The sequence below is a fragment of the Homo sapiens genome, chromosome 1 (genome assembly GCF_000001405.40).
Source record: "Homo sapiens chromosome 1, GRCh38.p14 Primary Assembly".
In the NCBI taxonomy this organism is placed as follows: Eukaryota; Metazoa; Chordata; class Mammalia; order Primates; family Hominidae; genus Homo; species Homo sapiens.
In genome coordinates this window covers 1,877,828-1,892,857 of record NC_000001.11, presented here as the reverse complement: position 1 = coordinate 1,892,857, position 15,030 = coordinate 1,877,828, and the positions used below count along the sequence as shown (strand labels likewise).

Below are 15,030 nucleotides of genomic sequence, written 5' to 3'. Positions count from 1 at the left end.
ACAGGAGATAATCAGAGCCAGGTTCCTCACTCCCAAAGCAGGAGGCCCCTCATTCCGAACAGGTTGAGCCCTGTAGTGTTGGCCTGGCATCAGAGTAAACACGTGGTGCCCAAGAAAAACAGACAAACACGCCCATGAAACTGTGTGTATACATATGCGTGTGGGCATGTACATAGATGTGTTCCCTTGCTCCGCCAGCTGCAATGACACCCCAGTAGCAATGAGCACATCCGGAGCCAGATCCCGGGCTCTGCATGACATTCTCCCACAATGAACCAGGCTGCAGCAGAAATAGCTGGGTTCAGGCTGGGGCAGGGAGAATACAACAGGGCCCTGGAGCATCTCGTGCCAGAAAGAAAGGGCTCCAGAAATGATGCGGACAGGTGAAGTGGGAGGGAGAGAGAAGGGTGGCAAGGCGTGGGTTCCCTGTCTGGTGGAGGCTCCCCTAGGTAGGGGGAAGCGCGTGGCACGGAGGGCAGGTGGCGGACGCATCTGGAAGCCGCACTTACTGTGTGTCCACTTTCTCACACAAGCACCATGCACACAAAACAAGAAGGAAAACGTCAGCTGAGAGAGGCGGGTGGTGTCCCAGGGTGTGGAGAGAGTAGAAGGTGGGAAATAGGTGTTGGAGGTGGCATGGCCCCTTGAGGTTGTGGCCCTGGTTGAGGGGAGGCCCAGTGGATGAGGTTGGGTCTCTCTCCCCTTCAGCTGTGCTGGTGCAGGCCTGGAGGAAAACGGACGCCAGGTTTGGTGTGGAAGGGGAGCTCGGAGGCGATGAAGGCCCAGGCAGGTGGAAGGTGGTGGTTGAGGACCGGGGAGCAGGGCGCTGGCTGGGGAGAGGCAGAGTGAAGAAGCCGAGGGTGAGGGGCAGCCGGAACTCAGCTGGAAAGACAGCAGGAGGCGGTGGGCGCAGGGGCGGGTTCCATGGACGTTCTGGAGGCTTCTGAGGACACCAAGCCTGGAAGCCAGGACATGTGGCCTTCTTGACTTCGTTCCCCTTCCTCACCTGGAGGTCTCCAGTCCCCGCTGTCCACTGCTCAGCGGCATGGGAGGAGTCCGCGGCCTTACCCCGACACTCCCGCCCACCGGCCCCCGCCCCTGCCAGGCGGCCCTGCTCGCAGCAGCGCGAGGAGCCACGGGGTGCTGCCCTCCTCCGCAGCCCGAGGCCCACTTCACACGCACTGAGCCCAAGCGCGAGTCTCTGCCCGTCAGCCGCGTCTGAGCTCGCCGCAGTCCCTGCTTGAGAGGCCGGGGGGCACCTGCGCCTGCCCGGGACCCTGACCTGCTAGCGGGGCCTGTTGCCTCCTCTGCAGGAAGCGATCTCGCCCGCGGTGCCCCCACCCGCCCCGTCCCCGGAGGGACCGCCCCCGCCCGCGGCCTTCCCGCCCCTGCCCTGTCGCTTGAGTGCCCCCCGCCCGCCGTTACCCCACCCCCGCCCCTGGAGGAGCCCCCGCCCACGGTTACCCAACCTTACCCTGTCCCCGGAGGGCTCCACGCCCGCGTTCCCCCCGCCCCATCCCAACTCCGAGGGTCCACTGCCCCGGTCCCCATCCCGCCCGGTCCCCGCAGGGCCGGGCCGCCGGGGGTCTCCCGGGGCAGCGGTACCCGAAGGCAGCAGCACGGCCCCTTTAAGCCGCTCGGACACGCGCTCGGGGCCCGATGCGGTTTGGACGCGCACAGGCGTGCGCGTGCCCGTCGGGCCTGGCGAGCGCGCGCGACGCGCGGCGTGCGTGGTGACGCGAGCGCGTGGGGTTTTCCGAGGCTGCGGGCAGGGGCCCGCCGCGCCCATCCCGATGGCTGGAGGCGTCTGAGGGGCGGACGGAGGCGGCGGCGGCGGCGGCGGGAGCGGGAGCGGGCGGCGAGTGGGGAGCGGGGCCGGGAGTGGAGCAGCCGCCGCGGCGGGACTGGACCGAGCCTCGCCGGCGCGCACCTGCCCGCAGCGCCCGCGGAGCGCGCAGCGCGGCCCGAGCGCGACGACCTGCCGAGCGGCGGCCGAGGCGGCGGTGTGGGCGCGTCAGGCCGCGACGAGGGCGCTGAGGTGAGCGCGGCAGCCCCCAGCCCCGGACCCGGGTCCTGTTCGTCCACCCGCCCGCCCTGGGGGCGCCCGCCCCGCCCCCACCCCACCCGCCGGTCGGGGCCGCGTCTTCCTGCCCCGCCCGGGTGCGGCGGGCGGCGTCCGAAGGGGGGGCCGGGGGCTGGGGTCCGAGGTTCGGGGTGCAGGGTCGGGGTCGAGGGCGGGGTCTAGGGAGAGGAGCCGGGGTCCCAGGCCCAAGGCTGGGGGCCGAGTTTCGGCACCGGGGTGCGGGGTTGTGTGCGCCGCGGGCGCTTCCCGTGGCGGCGGCCGGGGCCCCGGGGGCGCGGGTCGGGCGGGGCCGGGCCCTGCGTGGGGAGCCGGACGTGGCTCTCGGGCCCGCGGCGCGAGAACAAAGGCCGGGCGGGCCTGCAGGCGGGGCGGTGTCGGCGGCCGGAGCCCCCGCGCGGGCCGCCTATCGGGGTGACTTTGAGGGCCGGGCGGCCGCGGGGCGCGAGCGTGGGGAAGGGGAACAATGAAATGGGGAAGCCGGGCCGCGCGCCGCGGTCGGAGTAGGGATTTAAAGCGGAAGCCGGGCGCGGCGTCGGGAAATGGGAAAATAACGGTTTCGGCCCTTTTCGCTGTGTCGAGCCGCTGAGGCAGTCGCGCTGTGGCCTCGCCCTTCTCCTGCCGAGGCCCGGGTCTGTCCGGCGCTGGCGCCCCGCGCGTGTCGACTCGAGGGTTGCGCGGACCCCGGCCCGGCCCCGCGAATGAATGGGCCCGGTGGCCGCGCCAAGATGGCGCTCCCACCGCTGCCTTTGTGGGGCGGCCGCCGCCGCGCCGAGTTTCGGGGCCCGGTTTGCGATATTCCGAAGGCCCGAAGGTGGGGGAGAGGACAGGAAATAGCACAAAGGCTGGGTGTCTTCCTCTTGCCTGGATCGGCTTTTCGGCTGGAAGCGGGGTGGGGGTGGGGAGTGGGGAGATCTGTTGAAAATTCCACAGGGCTGTCGGCTGAGGCTTTTGACTTTTAAGAACCTGCTATATTTTTTCTTGTGAATCGATAGTTGATTCAAATGATATTTTAACATTTCTTGTGTCCGTTAAATTACATGGTTAGCATGCAGAAGCAGTATCAGCTTTTGTTTGCTTAATTCATCTTCATGGAAGCCTTTTTTTTTTTTTTTTTTAAGAGATGGGATCTCTTTGTAAAAGAGATCCTGTTAACCAGGCTGGTCTCGAACTCTGGGGCTCAAGCGATCCTCCCGCCTCAGCCTCCCAAAGTGCTGGGATTAGCGGCCTTAGCCACCGTGCCCAGCCTGTCTTCATGGAAGCTTTTTCTTAAGATTGTGAAATGGGCTCCTGAAGGAAAACGCCGATGTTAAAATTTGTGTTTTGAAAAGGGAGTTGGTGTACATTTACAGTTAGGGTGTACAGTACTGGACTTATGGGTAAATAGTGTAGAAATGGTAACCTATGGTTTTCTTTTGGGGAGCATTGGTTCATTGTATTTTCATGTTGCTATCTATCTGATAACATTAGTCTCAAATAGTATTAGGTGATTAAGCAGTTGCTGGTGAGATTATTAATTAAGAAAATATGAAGATTATTTTTCATGATTAGCAAATGGACGTATTAGTTTTGTGGAAAGTTTCAGTGAACTGCATACTGAATAAGGTCTTTGGAGCAAGCATTGTTATTGATAAGGTTTTTGCATAAGTTATTTTCTAATCTGAAGTGATAGTCTTTTGGGAGAGGGAGGAGCTCTTTATTGAAAGTAAGGTTTTAATTTTCATGCTATTGACATGCATAGTCTATTCTGGATTCTTTGGGAAGGTATGTATATCAAGAAAGTGGATAGGCGGTTCCTTCTTTGCTAACGCTGGGTTCGAGGCTGGGGATGGAGGTGGTGCCACTGACATGGAGACAGGTCTGAGAGCCTCCCCAGGGTAGGACTGAATGGTGGGTTTTGTCTTGGTTTATGCTAAGGCAGAACTTTCTTTACTTTTTGAGATGGAGTTTCGCTCTTGTTGCCCAGGCTGGAGTGCAGTGGCGCGATCTCGGCTCATTGCAACCTCCGCGCCCCCGGGTTCAAGTGATTCTCTTGCCTCAGCCTCCCGAGTAGCTGGGATTACAGCTACCACCACCACACCCGGCTAATTTTTTGTATTTTTAGTAGAGATAGGGTTTCACCATGTTGGCCAAGCTGGTCTCCAACTCCAGACCTCAGGTGATTCACCCGCCTTGATCTGCCAAAGTGCTGGGATTACGAGCGTGAGCCACCGCGCCCAGCCGGTAAGGCAGAACTTTCTAACGATTAGAGCTGCGCAGAAATGAACTGCAACTGCAGGGTCCAGAGGCTGATGCTGTCAACCCTGGGGGAAGGCTGGACTGCAGGTGTTGGGCGGTGGTCCCAGGTTACGAGCATTTGGTTTCATCAACACTGAAAGTGCTCCCCCCGCCCGCCTTTTTTTTTTTTTTTGAGATTGAGAGTTTGGAAAACCAGTTAAGTTCTGAGGTGCCTGTGCCCCCTCCCAGTTAAGTGCGCACTGCCCAGGCCCAGTGTGAGGATGACATTTTATCTTCTGCGGGAACCTTTCAAGATGAGTCTTATAGAGGAAACTGTTCCAACATGAAATTTCAGCTCAGAATTGACTTTCTCAAAAGAGCACATCCACTGGCCAAAAGCTATTTCTCTCGCGTAATCTGAATTTATGACAGAACCATAGTTATCTCATCAGACAAGTACTGACAGTGCTCTTCAGTGATACCTTTAAAATATTGTTTTTTCTTTGATATCTTCAGTTAATTCTGTTTTTTTGGTGGGTGGGAAAGTTGAAGTAAATTTTCTCAGATTTAATTTTAATCTTAGAAGATTCAAGAGACTGCAGAATAGTGTGTGGTTTTTTTATTGTTTGTTTTTAAGAGTAAAACCCACTGGGTGTGGTGGCTCACGCCTGTAATCCCAGCACTTTGGGAGGTGGAGGCGGGCGGATCACATGAGGCTGGGAGTTTGAGACCAGTCTGGCCAACATAGCGAAACCTCGTATCTACTAAAAATATTAAAATTAGCCGGCGTGGTGGTGGGCGCCTGTAATCCCAGCTACTCGGGAGGTTTAGGCACGGGAATCGCTTGAACCCGGGAGGCAGGGGTTGCGGTGAGCCGAGATTGTGCCACTGGGCGACAGAGTGAGACTGTGTCTCAAAAGAGTAAAAACCTCTGTAAATCCTTTTGATGCCCAATGACTTTGATTTCAAAGCTAGTATCATCTAGGTAGATTTATGTTGATCACTTGAGAAACAGAATTTGAAAAGTTAATTTATTTCTCAAAGGAGATGTTGTACTATCCTGCAAAAGTACCAGAGCTTTGTTCTCTTCCCTTTGCTTTGCTAAAAATTTCTGGGTCTTTTGGTTTATTTTATGTGTGTGTTGGTCCACTGGAAAAGTTGTAGCTTTGTAGCTAAAAACAGCTTTGATAAAAGGATGAAAAAGGTCTTCAGGGCATCTCTAGACTTCATCTACCATCAGTTGACTTTTTGTAGCTAATACTTTAATGAATAACATTGGTATTATTTTAGAAGTGCAGTGTTGGCATTTATTATAGTTTTGTCGTTGTTTTTCTCTGCCCGAAAGATTTGGCTCATGTTGGTCTCTAAATTGGATTACATTCTTACTGTCTGTGACTTTGGCTTTAGCATTAGTGGATTGGTAATAGATATTCTCAATTTTTAAATCTGGCTTGACCATATGGCAGGCCATGTTATTTTGAAACCCCTATTTAGTGTAAGTCTCACAAGACATGGAACAAAAATTTTTATAAAATTTTAAACTGGTTTGACCGGGCGTGGTGGCTCACACCTGTAATCCCAGCACTTTGGGAGGCCGAGTCAGGCGGATCATGAGGTCAGGAGATCGAGACCACCCTGGCTAACACGGTGAAACCCCTTCTCTACTAAAATTACTTCTCTACAAAAAATTAGCTGGGCGTGGTGCTGGGCACCTGTAATCCCAGCTACTCAGGAGGCTGAGGCAGGAGAATGGCAGGAACCCGGGAGGGGGAGCTTGCAGTGAGCCAAGATCGGCCACTGCACTCCAGCCTGGGCGACACAGCGAGACTCCGTCTCAAAAAATAAAAATAAAAAAAATTTTAAACTGGTTTACATTCTGATTTCAGGTTTGCATTTGTTAAGAGTGGTTGGAGAGATTATGAAGTAGGCAATTCAGTTAAGTGTTTGGTTTAGGAACACAGAATGAGGAGATAAAATAAATTTAAAATGGAAACTATCAGAAATTTATGAAACTGCAGTGTTCAACATTACTGAAAGAAAAAGCAGGGCCAACGTATATGGGAGTGAGTGTGTATGAAGAGAGAGAAATGCAACATCACATCAGCTGCTCTGGGAGAGGGACAGAGCACCACCTATTTCAAAGCTATGCATTTTGTTCTAGAACTTTGATTGAAGAAATAGAGACAATCTATAGACATTTGAGTTTGCTAGTGGATTAGTGGAATGCTGAAAGCTTTTTTTGTGAGACAGAGTCCCACTCAGCCACCCAGTCTGGAGTGCAGTGGCGCAATCTCGGCTCACTGCAACCACCATCTCACGGGTTCAAGTGATTCTCCAGTCTCAGCCTCCCGAGTAGCTGGGATTACAGGCACCCGCCGTCATGCCCGGATAATTTTTTAAAATTTTATTTTAGTAGAGATGGGGTTTCACCATGTTGGCCAGGCTGGTCTTGAACTCCTGACCTCCGGTGATCTGCCTGTCTGAGCCTCCCAAAGTTCTAGGATTACAGGCGTGAGCCACCGTGCCCTGCCGGAATGCTGAAAGCTTTTTTAAACCTTTTAGCCTCTTGTTCTTGTGTCAGTGCCTACCATTGGGTGCCATGGTAATCAGTGGAAATTACTCCTGGCTTTCAGTGGTAGAAAAGCTTTCTGTTTTATAGAGCAATGTTGCTTGCTTGCTTTTTTTTTTTTTTAAGATTAAGTGGGCCGGGCACGGTGGCTCACGCCTGTAATCCCAGCACTTTGGGAGGCCGACGTGGGCGGATCACGAGGTCAGGAGATTGAGACCATCCTGGCTAACACGGTGAAACCCCATTGCTACTAAAAATACCAAAAAAATTAGCTGGGTGTGGTGGCGGGCGCCTGTAGTCCCAGCTACTTGGGAGGCTGAGGCAGGAGAATGGCGTGAACCCGGGAGGCGGAGCTTGCAGTGAGCCGAGATCGTGCTACTGCACTCCAGCCTGGGTGACTGAGCGAGACTCCGTTTCACAAAAAAAAAAAAAAAAAAAAAGATTAAGTGGAAGTATTTCCTTATTTATGTCTTCTTAAATTAGAATTCTGAGAAAGACCCATTTTTTAAAAGCTTACTGATTTAAAAGACCAGATTAAGATTATCTAAGGTAATTCCTTTTTTCTTTCTTTTTTTTTTGAGATGGAGTTTCCTTCCTGTTGCCCAGGCTGGAGTGCAATGGCGCTGTCCTGGCTCACTGCAACTTCTGCCTCCCGGGTTCAAGTGATTCTCCTGCCTCAGCCTCCCAAGTAGCTGAGATTACAGGTGCCCGCCACCATGCCTGGCTAATTTTTGTAGTTTTAGTAGAGATGGGGTTTCACCATGTTGGCCAGGCTGGTCTCAAACTGCTGACCTCAAGTGATCCGCCCGCCTCCGCCTCCCAAAGTGCTGGGATTACAGGTGTGAGCCACCGTGCCCAGCTTAATTTTTAAGTTTATTCTGTTGAACCTATTTTGCCATAGATAAAATATTTTTATGATTTAATAATTCATTGCTCCAAACTTACTAATGCATTATATCAAGAGAGGACTTTATGTATTAATTCATTCACCTGTTAGAATTGGAATACTGGCCGGGCACGGTGGCTCATGCCTGTAATCCCAGCACTTTGGGAGGCCCAGGCGGGCAGATCACGATGTCAGGAGATCGAGACCAACCTGGCTAACACAGTGAAACCCTGTCTCTGCTAAAAATACAAAAAAATTAGCCGGGCGTGGTGGCAGGCACCTGTAGTCCCAGCTACTTGGGAGGCTGAGGCAGGAGAATGGTGTGAACCCGGGAGGCAGACCTCGCAGTGAGTGGAGATCGCGCCACTGCACTCCAGCCTGGGCGACAGAGCAAGACTCCGTCTCTCAAAAAAAAAAAAAGAATGGGAATACTAAGGGCATCAGTGGAATGTATTCTTGTTTACTGGTGGGTAATCATGTCTCCATGCATGTCTGTGTGCAGTCCTGTAGCACTTAGAAAATATATTCCCTATGTTGATTACAGACACTCAACTTCTGCCGAGTGTTGTAGTTAATAAAGCTTAAAAAATTCTGGGCTGGGTGTGGTGGCTCATGCCTGTAAACCCAACACTTTGGGAGGCCAAGGTGAGCGGATCACCTGAGGTTGGGAGTTCAAGACCAGCCTGACCAACATGGAGAAACCCTGTCTCTACTGAAAATACAAAATTAGCCCAGACGCGGTGGCTCACGCCTGTAATTCCAGCACTTTGGGAGGCCGAGGAGGGTGGATCAGCCTGGCCAACATGGAGAAACCCCATCTCTACTAAAAATACAAAAAATTACCCAGGCATGGTGATGCATGCCTGTAATTCCAGCTACTCGGGAGGCTGAGGTTGCAGTGAGCCGAGATCGTGCCATTGCACTCCAGCCTGGGCAACAAGAAGGAAACTCCATCTCAAAAAAAAAAAAAAAATTAGTCGGGCATGGTGGCACATGCCTGTAATCTCAGCTACTCGGGAGGCAGAGGCAAGAGAATCGCTTGAACCTGGGAGGCGGAGGTTGCGGTGAGCCGAGATTGTGCCATTGTACTGCAGCCTGGGCAACAAGAGTGAAACTCGGTCAAAAAAAAAAAAAAAAAGTCCGGACACTTTATAATTAGATGAGCATGTCAAAAGAGTCTACAATAGGTTTCAGAAAATTTCTCATAGGAATTTTAAAATAATTCCTAAAATCTAGGGAGTGAGAGAAATTCAGTAGTTTTCAAAAGGATTGGCACTGTCTGAGTTAGAGCCCAGCTCAGCTCTGTTGCCTCACTGGCTGATTTGCAGTGTTAGGACTTTTATTCGCACTGAAAATCAAGATCAGTTCAACTTCTACCCTTCCACTCCACAGGAGCTTTCTGTCCTCCCTGAGCCTGCCTTAATTTAGGCCACCTGCAGTGTTAGGACTTCTGTGTCTGTCCTTATCTGTGAAACAGGCTCCTAGAGCCTCCTTCATGGGGTCATTGTGAGGATTAAATGAGTCCTGATGTGGGCACTGATAACAGAGCTCAGTGCAAGGATTAGCTATTTCTGTTGCTGATGGCCTTGCTTTGTAAAAATTTCTTTTATGGCAAGGTTAACAAATGTTATAAGATGACAGTTTACTGAGATTTTTCTTTTTTTCTCCATGGTTCCAGAAGAATATTAATTCAGGGTGTGGAACATGCATATTAGCTATCTTTGCAAATCCCTATCACTTATTTACTGCCTTACTTTCTACTAAATCTCTCACATCCTTATCTTTTCTTGAAAGGTTTTTTTTTCTTTTTCTTTTTTTTTTTTTTTTGGGACAGGGTTTTGCTGTGTCACCCAGGCTGGAGTGTGGAATGTGATGGTATGATCATGGTTCACTGCAGCCTGGACCTCCTGGGCTCATACGATCTTCTTCTCTCAGTCTCACAAGTAGCTAGGACCACGGGCACATGCCACCGTGCCCAGCTAATTTTTTTTATTGTTTGTAGAGACAGGCTGGTCTCCAACTCCTGGGTTCAAGTGATCCTCCTGCCTTAGCCTCCCAAAATGTTGGGATTATAGATGTGAGCCACAGTAACCTGCTCTTAAAGGCTTTCCTTTACCTTTGTAGAATAATCTTGAACTATGCCTCATTTTGAAAACTGGTAAGTTTATGTCCTTTTTTTTTTTTTGAGACGGAGTCTTGCCCTGTCACCCAGGCTGGAGTGCAGTGACATGATCTCGGCTCACTGCAACCTCCACCTCCTGGGTTCAAACAATTCTCCTGCCTCAGCCTCCAGAGTAGCTGGGGTTACAGGCACCTGCCACCATGCCCAGCTGATTTTTGTATTTTTAGTAGAGACAGGGTTTCACCATATTGGCCAGTCTGGTCTCAAACTCCTGACCTCGTGATCTGCCTGCCTCGGCCTCCCAAAGTGCTGGGATTACAGGCGTGAGCCACCACGCCCTGCCCATTTATGTTCATTTTTTTAGAGAATTCTCCTCCTCCCATTTATGAAGCTAGATTTTTTTTTAATTTCACCAAAATTTGTTGACGTCCCTTGATTTGCTGATAGGGACAATAATTAAATATTTTCCACTTGTTTTTATAAAAACTGTAATGGTGATTTGTTTAACAGATGTTGACTTAGCACCTTCTCTCTTTTTTTTTTTTTTTTTTTTTTTTGAGTTGGAGTCTTGCTCTGTCACCCAGCTGGAGTGCAGTGGCACGATTTCGGCTCACTGCAACCTCCGCCTCCCAGGTTCAGGCGCTTCTCCTGCCTCAGCCTCCCAAATAGTTGGGATTACAGGTGCATGCCGCCACGCCTAGCTAATGTTTTTTGTATCTTAGTAGAGATGGTGTTTCACCTTGTTGCCCATGCCGCTCTTGAACTCCTTGGCCTCCCAAAGTGTTAGGATTACAGGCGTGAGCCACTGTGCCTGGCCCCAATTTAGCACCTTACTGGGTGCTGAGGCTGTGAGCCATAGTAGAATGCATGTGATCCAGGGCCTTGCTGAATTCATGGTCTAATAGGGAGCCTGACACGCAGGCACAGAGCGGAGGGCAGTGGCTGTGGCTCCCAGGGACACCACCCTGTCCAGAGTTCAGTGGCAGCTTCTCATTAAAAAAAGCTTTGAGACCTGAATTGGAGTCTGTCTGGCAGGCAGGTGGGGATGGAGGGGAGGAGTGTATCCTAGGCTGATGAGATGGTGTGTTTTTCATCCGGCAACCAACTGGTCTCCTTCACTGTCTCCAGCACCCCGCACAATACTGTGTGCCAGGTGCTCAGTAATTATTTATCAAGCGCATAAGAGCACAGCACATCCAGGGACGGAAGTTCCAAAGGGCTAGGAGAGTGGTTAGACCTGGAAGCCAAAAGGTTTACAGTCTGGATAAAGAGCTTTTACCTTGAGGCCGGGCACAGTGGCTTATGCCTGTAATCCCACCACTTTGGGAGGCCAGGGCGGGCGGATCACTTGAGGTCAGGAGTTTGAGACCAGCCTGGCCAACATGGTGAAACCTTGTCTCTACTAAACATATAAAAATTAGGCTTGGTGGCGCACACCTGTATTCTCAGCTACTCATTAGGCTGAGGCACAAGGATCACTTGAATCTGGGAGGCGGAGGTTGCAGTGACCCAAGATCACCCTAGCCTGGGTGACAGTGTGAGACTCAAAAAAAAAGAAAAAAATGAACTTTTACCTCGAGAGCTCCAGGAAGCCCTGAAAGAGTTTTAAGGAGATTGATCTGATGGGGATCATTACTTGGTAGTTGAGCGTAGAGTGCTCAGGGGAGGGAGGGGACTCTAGTCAGTTGGCAAAGCTGCTGTAGAAGAGGAAAGGGGTCTGGACCAGGTTGACGATTGATAAGACCTGGTGACCGAAGGGAAGGCGAGAGTGGCGAGAAAGATGTAAATGACCACAGGTTTCCGTCTGCCCTCTGGGTGGCTGTGGGTCATGATGAGTTTAGTTTGTGTGTGTTGGGTTTGAGGAGTCTCTGAGGCTTTCTCATGTTTTGCATCGAGGGTACGGCAGGCCTTATACTTTCTCCTCCCTGTCCTTGGAAAACTCCTGGCTGTGTGTTTGCACAGTTCACTCCCTCTCTCCGTTCAGGCATTTGTCATGTATCCCTTCCTCCGAGGGTGTGCTCTGATCTCATTGATCTCTGCTGTTTTACCCCACTCTTGTCTTCGTAGCCTGATAATGCTCTTCCCACTTCTTCTAAGCTCCATGGACACAGGCAGTCTGGTTCACTGCAGACCAGCCCCTAAAACGGTACACAGTAAATGCTGACGTAGTGACTCCTGTGCCTGTGAGTGGGGAGCTCTGGAAGATAGGTCTGGATGGAGGCAGGCCTTTGGGAGTTAGCAACATTTGGGTGATGATTGAAGTCTTGGGGAGCAGTGGTCACTTAGAGCAGTGGTTCTCAAAGTGTGATCGTGGACCCCTGGGGGCTCCTGAGACAGTTTCAGGAATTCACTTAGTCAGAACTGTTTTCATCATCATATATATATATATTTTTTTTTTGAGATGGAGTCTCTCTCTGTCGCCCAGGCTGGAGTGCAGTGGCGCGATCTCGGCTCACTGCCAGCTCCGCCTCCCGGGTTCACGCAATTCTGCCTCGGCCTCTCCGAGTAGCTGGGACTACAGGCACCCCCCACCACGCCCGGCTAATTTTTTGTATTTTTAGTAGAGGCGGGGTTTCACCGTGGTCTCGATCTCCTGACCTCGTGATCCGCCTGCCTCGGCCTCCCAAAGCGCTGGGATTACAAGCGTGAGCCGCCGTGTCCGGCCTTCATAATCATATTAAGATGTTATTTGACTTTTCATTGTGTTGACATATAAAAATAAAATAAAAATTCTATAGAAATACTGTTCTTGGCTGGGCATGGTAGCTCACACCTGTAATCCCAGTGCTTTGGGAGGGTGAGGCAGGAGGATCACTTGAGGCTGAGATTTTGAGACCAGCCTGGGCAACATAGTGAGACCCCATCTCTACAAAAAAATTTGAAAATTAGCCAGGCATGGTGGTGCGTGCCTGTGGTCCCATCTACTGGGGAGGCTGAGGCAGGAGGATTGATGGAGCCTGGCAGGTTGAGATTGCAGTGAGCTATGGTTGCACCATGGCACTCCAGCCTGGGTGACAGAGTGAGGCCCTATGTCTTAAAAAACAACAACAACAACAAAAAACAGCTCTTTTCTTTTTCCAGCTGCATATCTATGTGAGACTGAATTTTCCTCTTAGACTTCAGCTAAAACTGTGTATTGCATCAGGCTGAGAGCAGACACGATGTGAAGATCCATTGCTCCCATTGAGGCAGACAAGGTAAATGTAAAATGTAAAATATGGCTTATCACCAGATTATTTTTCTTAGAAAATAGTTATTCTTTTTTTTTTTTTTTTCCCTGAGACAGAGTCTCACTCTGTCACCCAGGCTGGAGTGCAGTGGTGCGATCTTGGCTCACTGCAAGCTCCGCCTCCTGGGTTCACGCCATTCTCCTGCCTCAGCCTCCCGAATAGCTGGGACTACAGGTGCCTGCCACCACGCCTGGCTAATTTTTGTATTTTTAGTAGAGACAGGGTTTCACCGTGTTAGGCAGGATGCTCTCGATCGCCTGATCTCGTGATCTGCCCGCCTCGGCCTCCCAAAGTGCTGGGATTACAGGCATGAGCCACTGCGCCCGGCCTAGAAAGTAGTTGTTCTTTATAAAAATGTTATGTATGGTAACATGCAGTGGGCTTATTTTCAAATGATAAACATTTTTAGGACATTTCAGTTTTAATTTATAGCACAGTAAATATTGATAGATCAAACCCTCATAAACAAAAGCCCCTGGGGTCCTTAATAGTTGAGGATGTAGAGGGGGTCTGAGCCGAAATATCTGAGCAGCGCTGGTTTAGAGAATGGGCCAGGCCCAGGGCACCTGTGGGGACCAGAGAAGTTCTCAGCTGGAGACAGGCACCCTGTCCCTGCCCCCATGTGCAGTACTGTAGGATTGTGCCTTTTCCTGGGGAGGAGAACTCAGAGATTTGTCAGAGGTGAAGACCCGTTGGTGTAGCTTGAGAAGAGGCCCTTGTGTTAGGGATGTGCAGAGGAAGAGAAACACTTAAAGGAGTGACCAGACTTTGGGAGACTCTCAGCACTAGTGTCGCAGAACCCACAGAAGGTATTCTGAGAGCAGAGGGAATGGTCCGAAGTTGGAGATGGATTCGTCAGTGGTAGAGATTGCTGAGGGCCAGTGAGTTCCAGTGGGGTGAGGAGAGTCTTGTAGGAAAGTAGTCGGAGAGAGAAGTGTGGGGCTAGGGGAGGCTCTGTCTGCATGGATTTTAGATGGGAATACTGAGAGGGCAGCGCCCATAAAGGGGAAGAGAGGAGAGATCTTTTGTAAAATGCGTATTCAGGGCCAAAGATGTGCCAAGGAGAGGCAGGTGATGGGCAGTGAATAAGAGATGCCAACTTGCCTTGGTGAGAGGAATGTTACCTATGCGACAGTGGAAAAGGCTGTGTGCTGAAAAAGATGGCGGACGAGTCTGCTGTAGGGCTCTAGGCATTGCTGGTGCTTCCATGTTGAAAAGGGTGGTCCAAACATTTGAGGAGAGAGTAGGAGGAGGTGAGAAGACAAACCAGACAGACATCTGGGAAAAGAGGGTTCCAGGCAGGAGAAGCCCCAAGTCAGGGCTGTGCTTGGACTTGGAATTGAAATAAGTCCTGGAAAATTGGTTAATCCCCGCTTGGCATACATATTATGTAAAGTGTGTTGGGAGAGGTACTTGAAGGTTTTCCTGTTGAAATAAATTCCCTACAACCTTAGCCTTCCAGTCCCTCTGCCTGACACTCCCATGGCAGTTGGTGCACTTGCGTTTTGCCCTGTTGAAGATGCCTGTGCCATTAGCTCGCATTTGTTGGGTATCTTTCTTGCACCAGGCACCATGCTGGGAACTATGCTATTACTGCGTGGTCCTCACATCAGCTCTGATAGGTGCTGTTAATAGCTCCATCTTACAGATGACTGGATCTACAGGGAGATTAGACAGTTGGCCGTGGTGACAGTGAACTTAGTTCTTGGGTCATTGCTCCTGGAGCCTATGCATTATAGACCTGCTGGTGTGAGCTCTTTCTCCTCATTCATCTGAGAAGACTTCTGTGTCTGCATTTGCCTCTTCCTATGTTAGTAAAAGGAACATTTTTCCACTGGAAAACAGTTACCAACAGTTTTGTCAGTGGCTACTCTATTATACCTTCAAACATGCCTAAATCTTATGTAACTCAACACCCAGTTAATC

General features: G+C 51.0%; 1 protein-coding gene and 1 long non-coding RNA gene across 35 annotated transcripts in view, besides 8 other annotated features; one reads left to right on the top strand and one right to left on the bottom strand.

Moving 5' to 3' along the window:
• GNB1-DT (GNB1 divergent transcript) lies at positions 132-1,678 on the bottom strand. Of its 2 annotated transcripts, none has more exons than NR_168264.1 (2): positions 1,475-1,678; positions 132-958 (listed from the first exon to the last, which is right to left on the bottom strand). It is a non-coding gene; the product is annotated as a GNB1 divergent transcript (long non-coding RNA). The 2 variants fall into 2 exon arrangements; NR_168263.1 differs by having other exon boundaries at positions 132-830.
• Positions 987-1,236: a silencer, noted in NCBI's record as "silent region_95". NCBI's record gives its function as "represses an Ori minimal core promoter by ATAC-STARR-seq in GM12878 lymphoblastoid cells {active_cell/tissue: GM12878}" and the evidence as "EXISTENCE:reporter gene assay evidence [ECO:0000049][PMID:35858748]".
• Positions 1,297-1,396: a silencer, noted in NCBI's record as "silent region_94". NCBI's record gives its function as "represses an Ori minimal core promoter by ATAC-STARR-seq in GM12878 lymphoblastoid cells {active_cell/tissue: GM12878}" and the evidence as "EXISTENCE:reporter gene assay evidence [ECO:0000049][PMID:35858748]".
• Positions 1,517-1,706: a silencer, noted in NCBI's record as "silent region_93". NCBI's record gives its function as "represses an Ori minimal core promoter by ATAC-STARR-seq in GM12878 lymphoblastoid cells {active_cell/tissue: GM12878}" and the evidence as "EXISTENCE:reporter gene assay evidence [ECO:0000049][PMID:35858748]".
• The window catches only part of GNB1 (G protein subunit beta 1), a 105,802-nt gene continuing 92,542 nt past the window's right edge, over positions 1,771-15,030 (top strand). For 14 of the 33 annotated variants that reach the window (XM_047418078.1, XM_047418076.1, XM_017001061.3 and 11 more), the window contains exon 1: positions 1,771-2,038. The gene's annotated coding sequence lies outside the window, so the exon portion shown is untranslated. Of the gene's footprint in view, positions 2,039-2,364; positions 2,495-12,955; positions 13,072-15,030 lie in introns of those variants that run through there. The other 19 variants (XM_047418042.1, XM_047418059.1, XM_047418050.1 and 16 more) reach the window with 12 other exon arrangements.
• Positions 2,267-2,456: a silencer, noted in NCBI's record as "silent region_92". NCBI's record gives its function as "represses an Ori minimal core promoter by ATAC-STARR-seq in GM12878 lymphoblastoid cells {active_cell/tissue: GM12878}" and the evidence as "EXISTENCE:reporter gene assay evidence [ECO:0000049][PMID:35858748]".
• Positions 3,759-4,258: an enhancer, noted in NCBI's record as "H3K4me1 hESC enhancer chr1:1820039-1820538 (GRCh37/hg19 assembly coordinates)". NCBI's record gives its function as "activates a minimal SCP1, AML or CMV promoter by ChIP-STARR-seq in naive H9 embryonic stem cells {active_cell/tissue: H9 hESC(naive)}" and the evidence as "EXISTENCE:reporter gene assay evidence [ECO:0000049][PMID:30033119]".
• Positions 10,714-11,008: a silencer, noted in NCBI's record as "tiled region #3728; K562 Repressive non-DNase unmatched - State 14:Gen5'". NCBI's record gives its function as "represses a minimal TATA promoter and a strong SV40 promoter by Sharpr-MPRA in K562 cells {active_cell/tissue: K562}" and the evidence as "EXISTENCE:reporter gene assay evidence [ECO:0000049][PMID:27701403]".
• Positions 10,714-11,272: a biological region, named in NCBI's record as "Sharpr-MPRA regulatory region 3728".
• Positions 10,723-11,272: an enhancer, noted in NCBI's record as "H3K27ac-H3K4me1 hESC enhancer chr1:1813025-1813574 (GRCh37/hg19 assembly coordinates)". NCBI's record gives its function as "activates a minimal SCP1, AML or CMV promoter by ChIP-STARR-seq in naive H9 embryonic stem cells {active_cell/tissue: H9 hESC(naive)}" and the evidence as "EXISTENCE:reporter gene assay evidence [ECO:0000049][PMID:30033119]".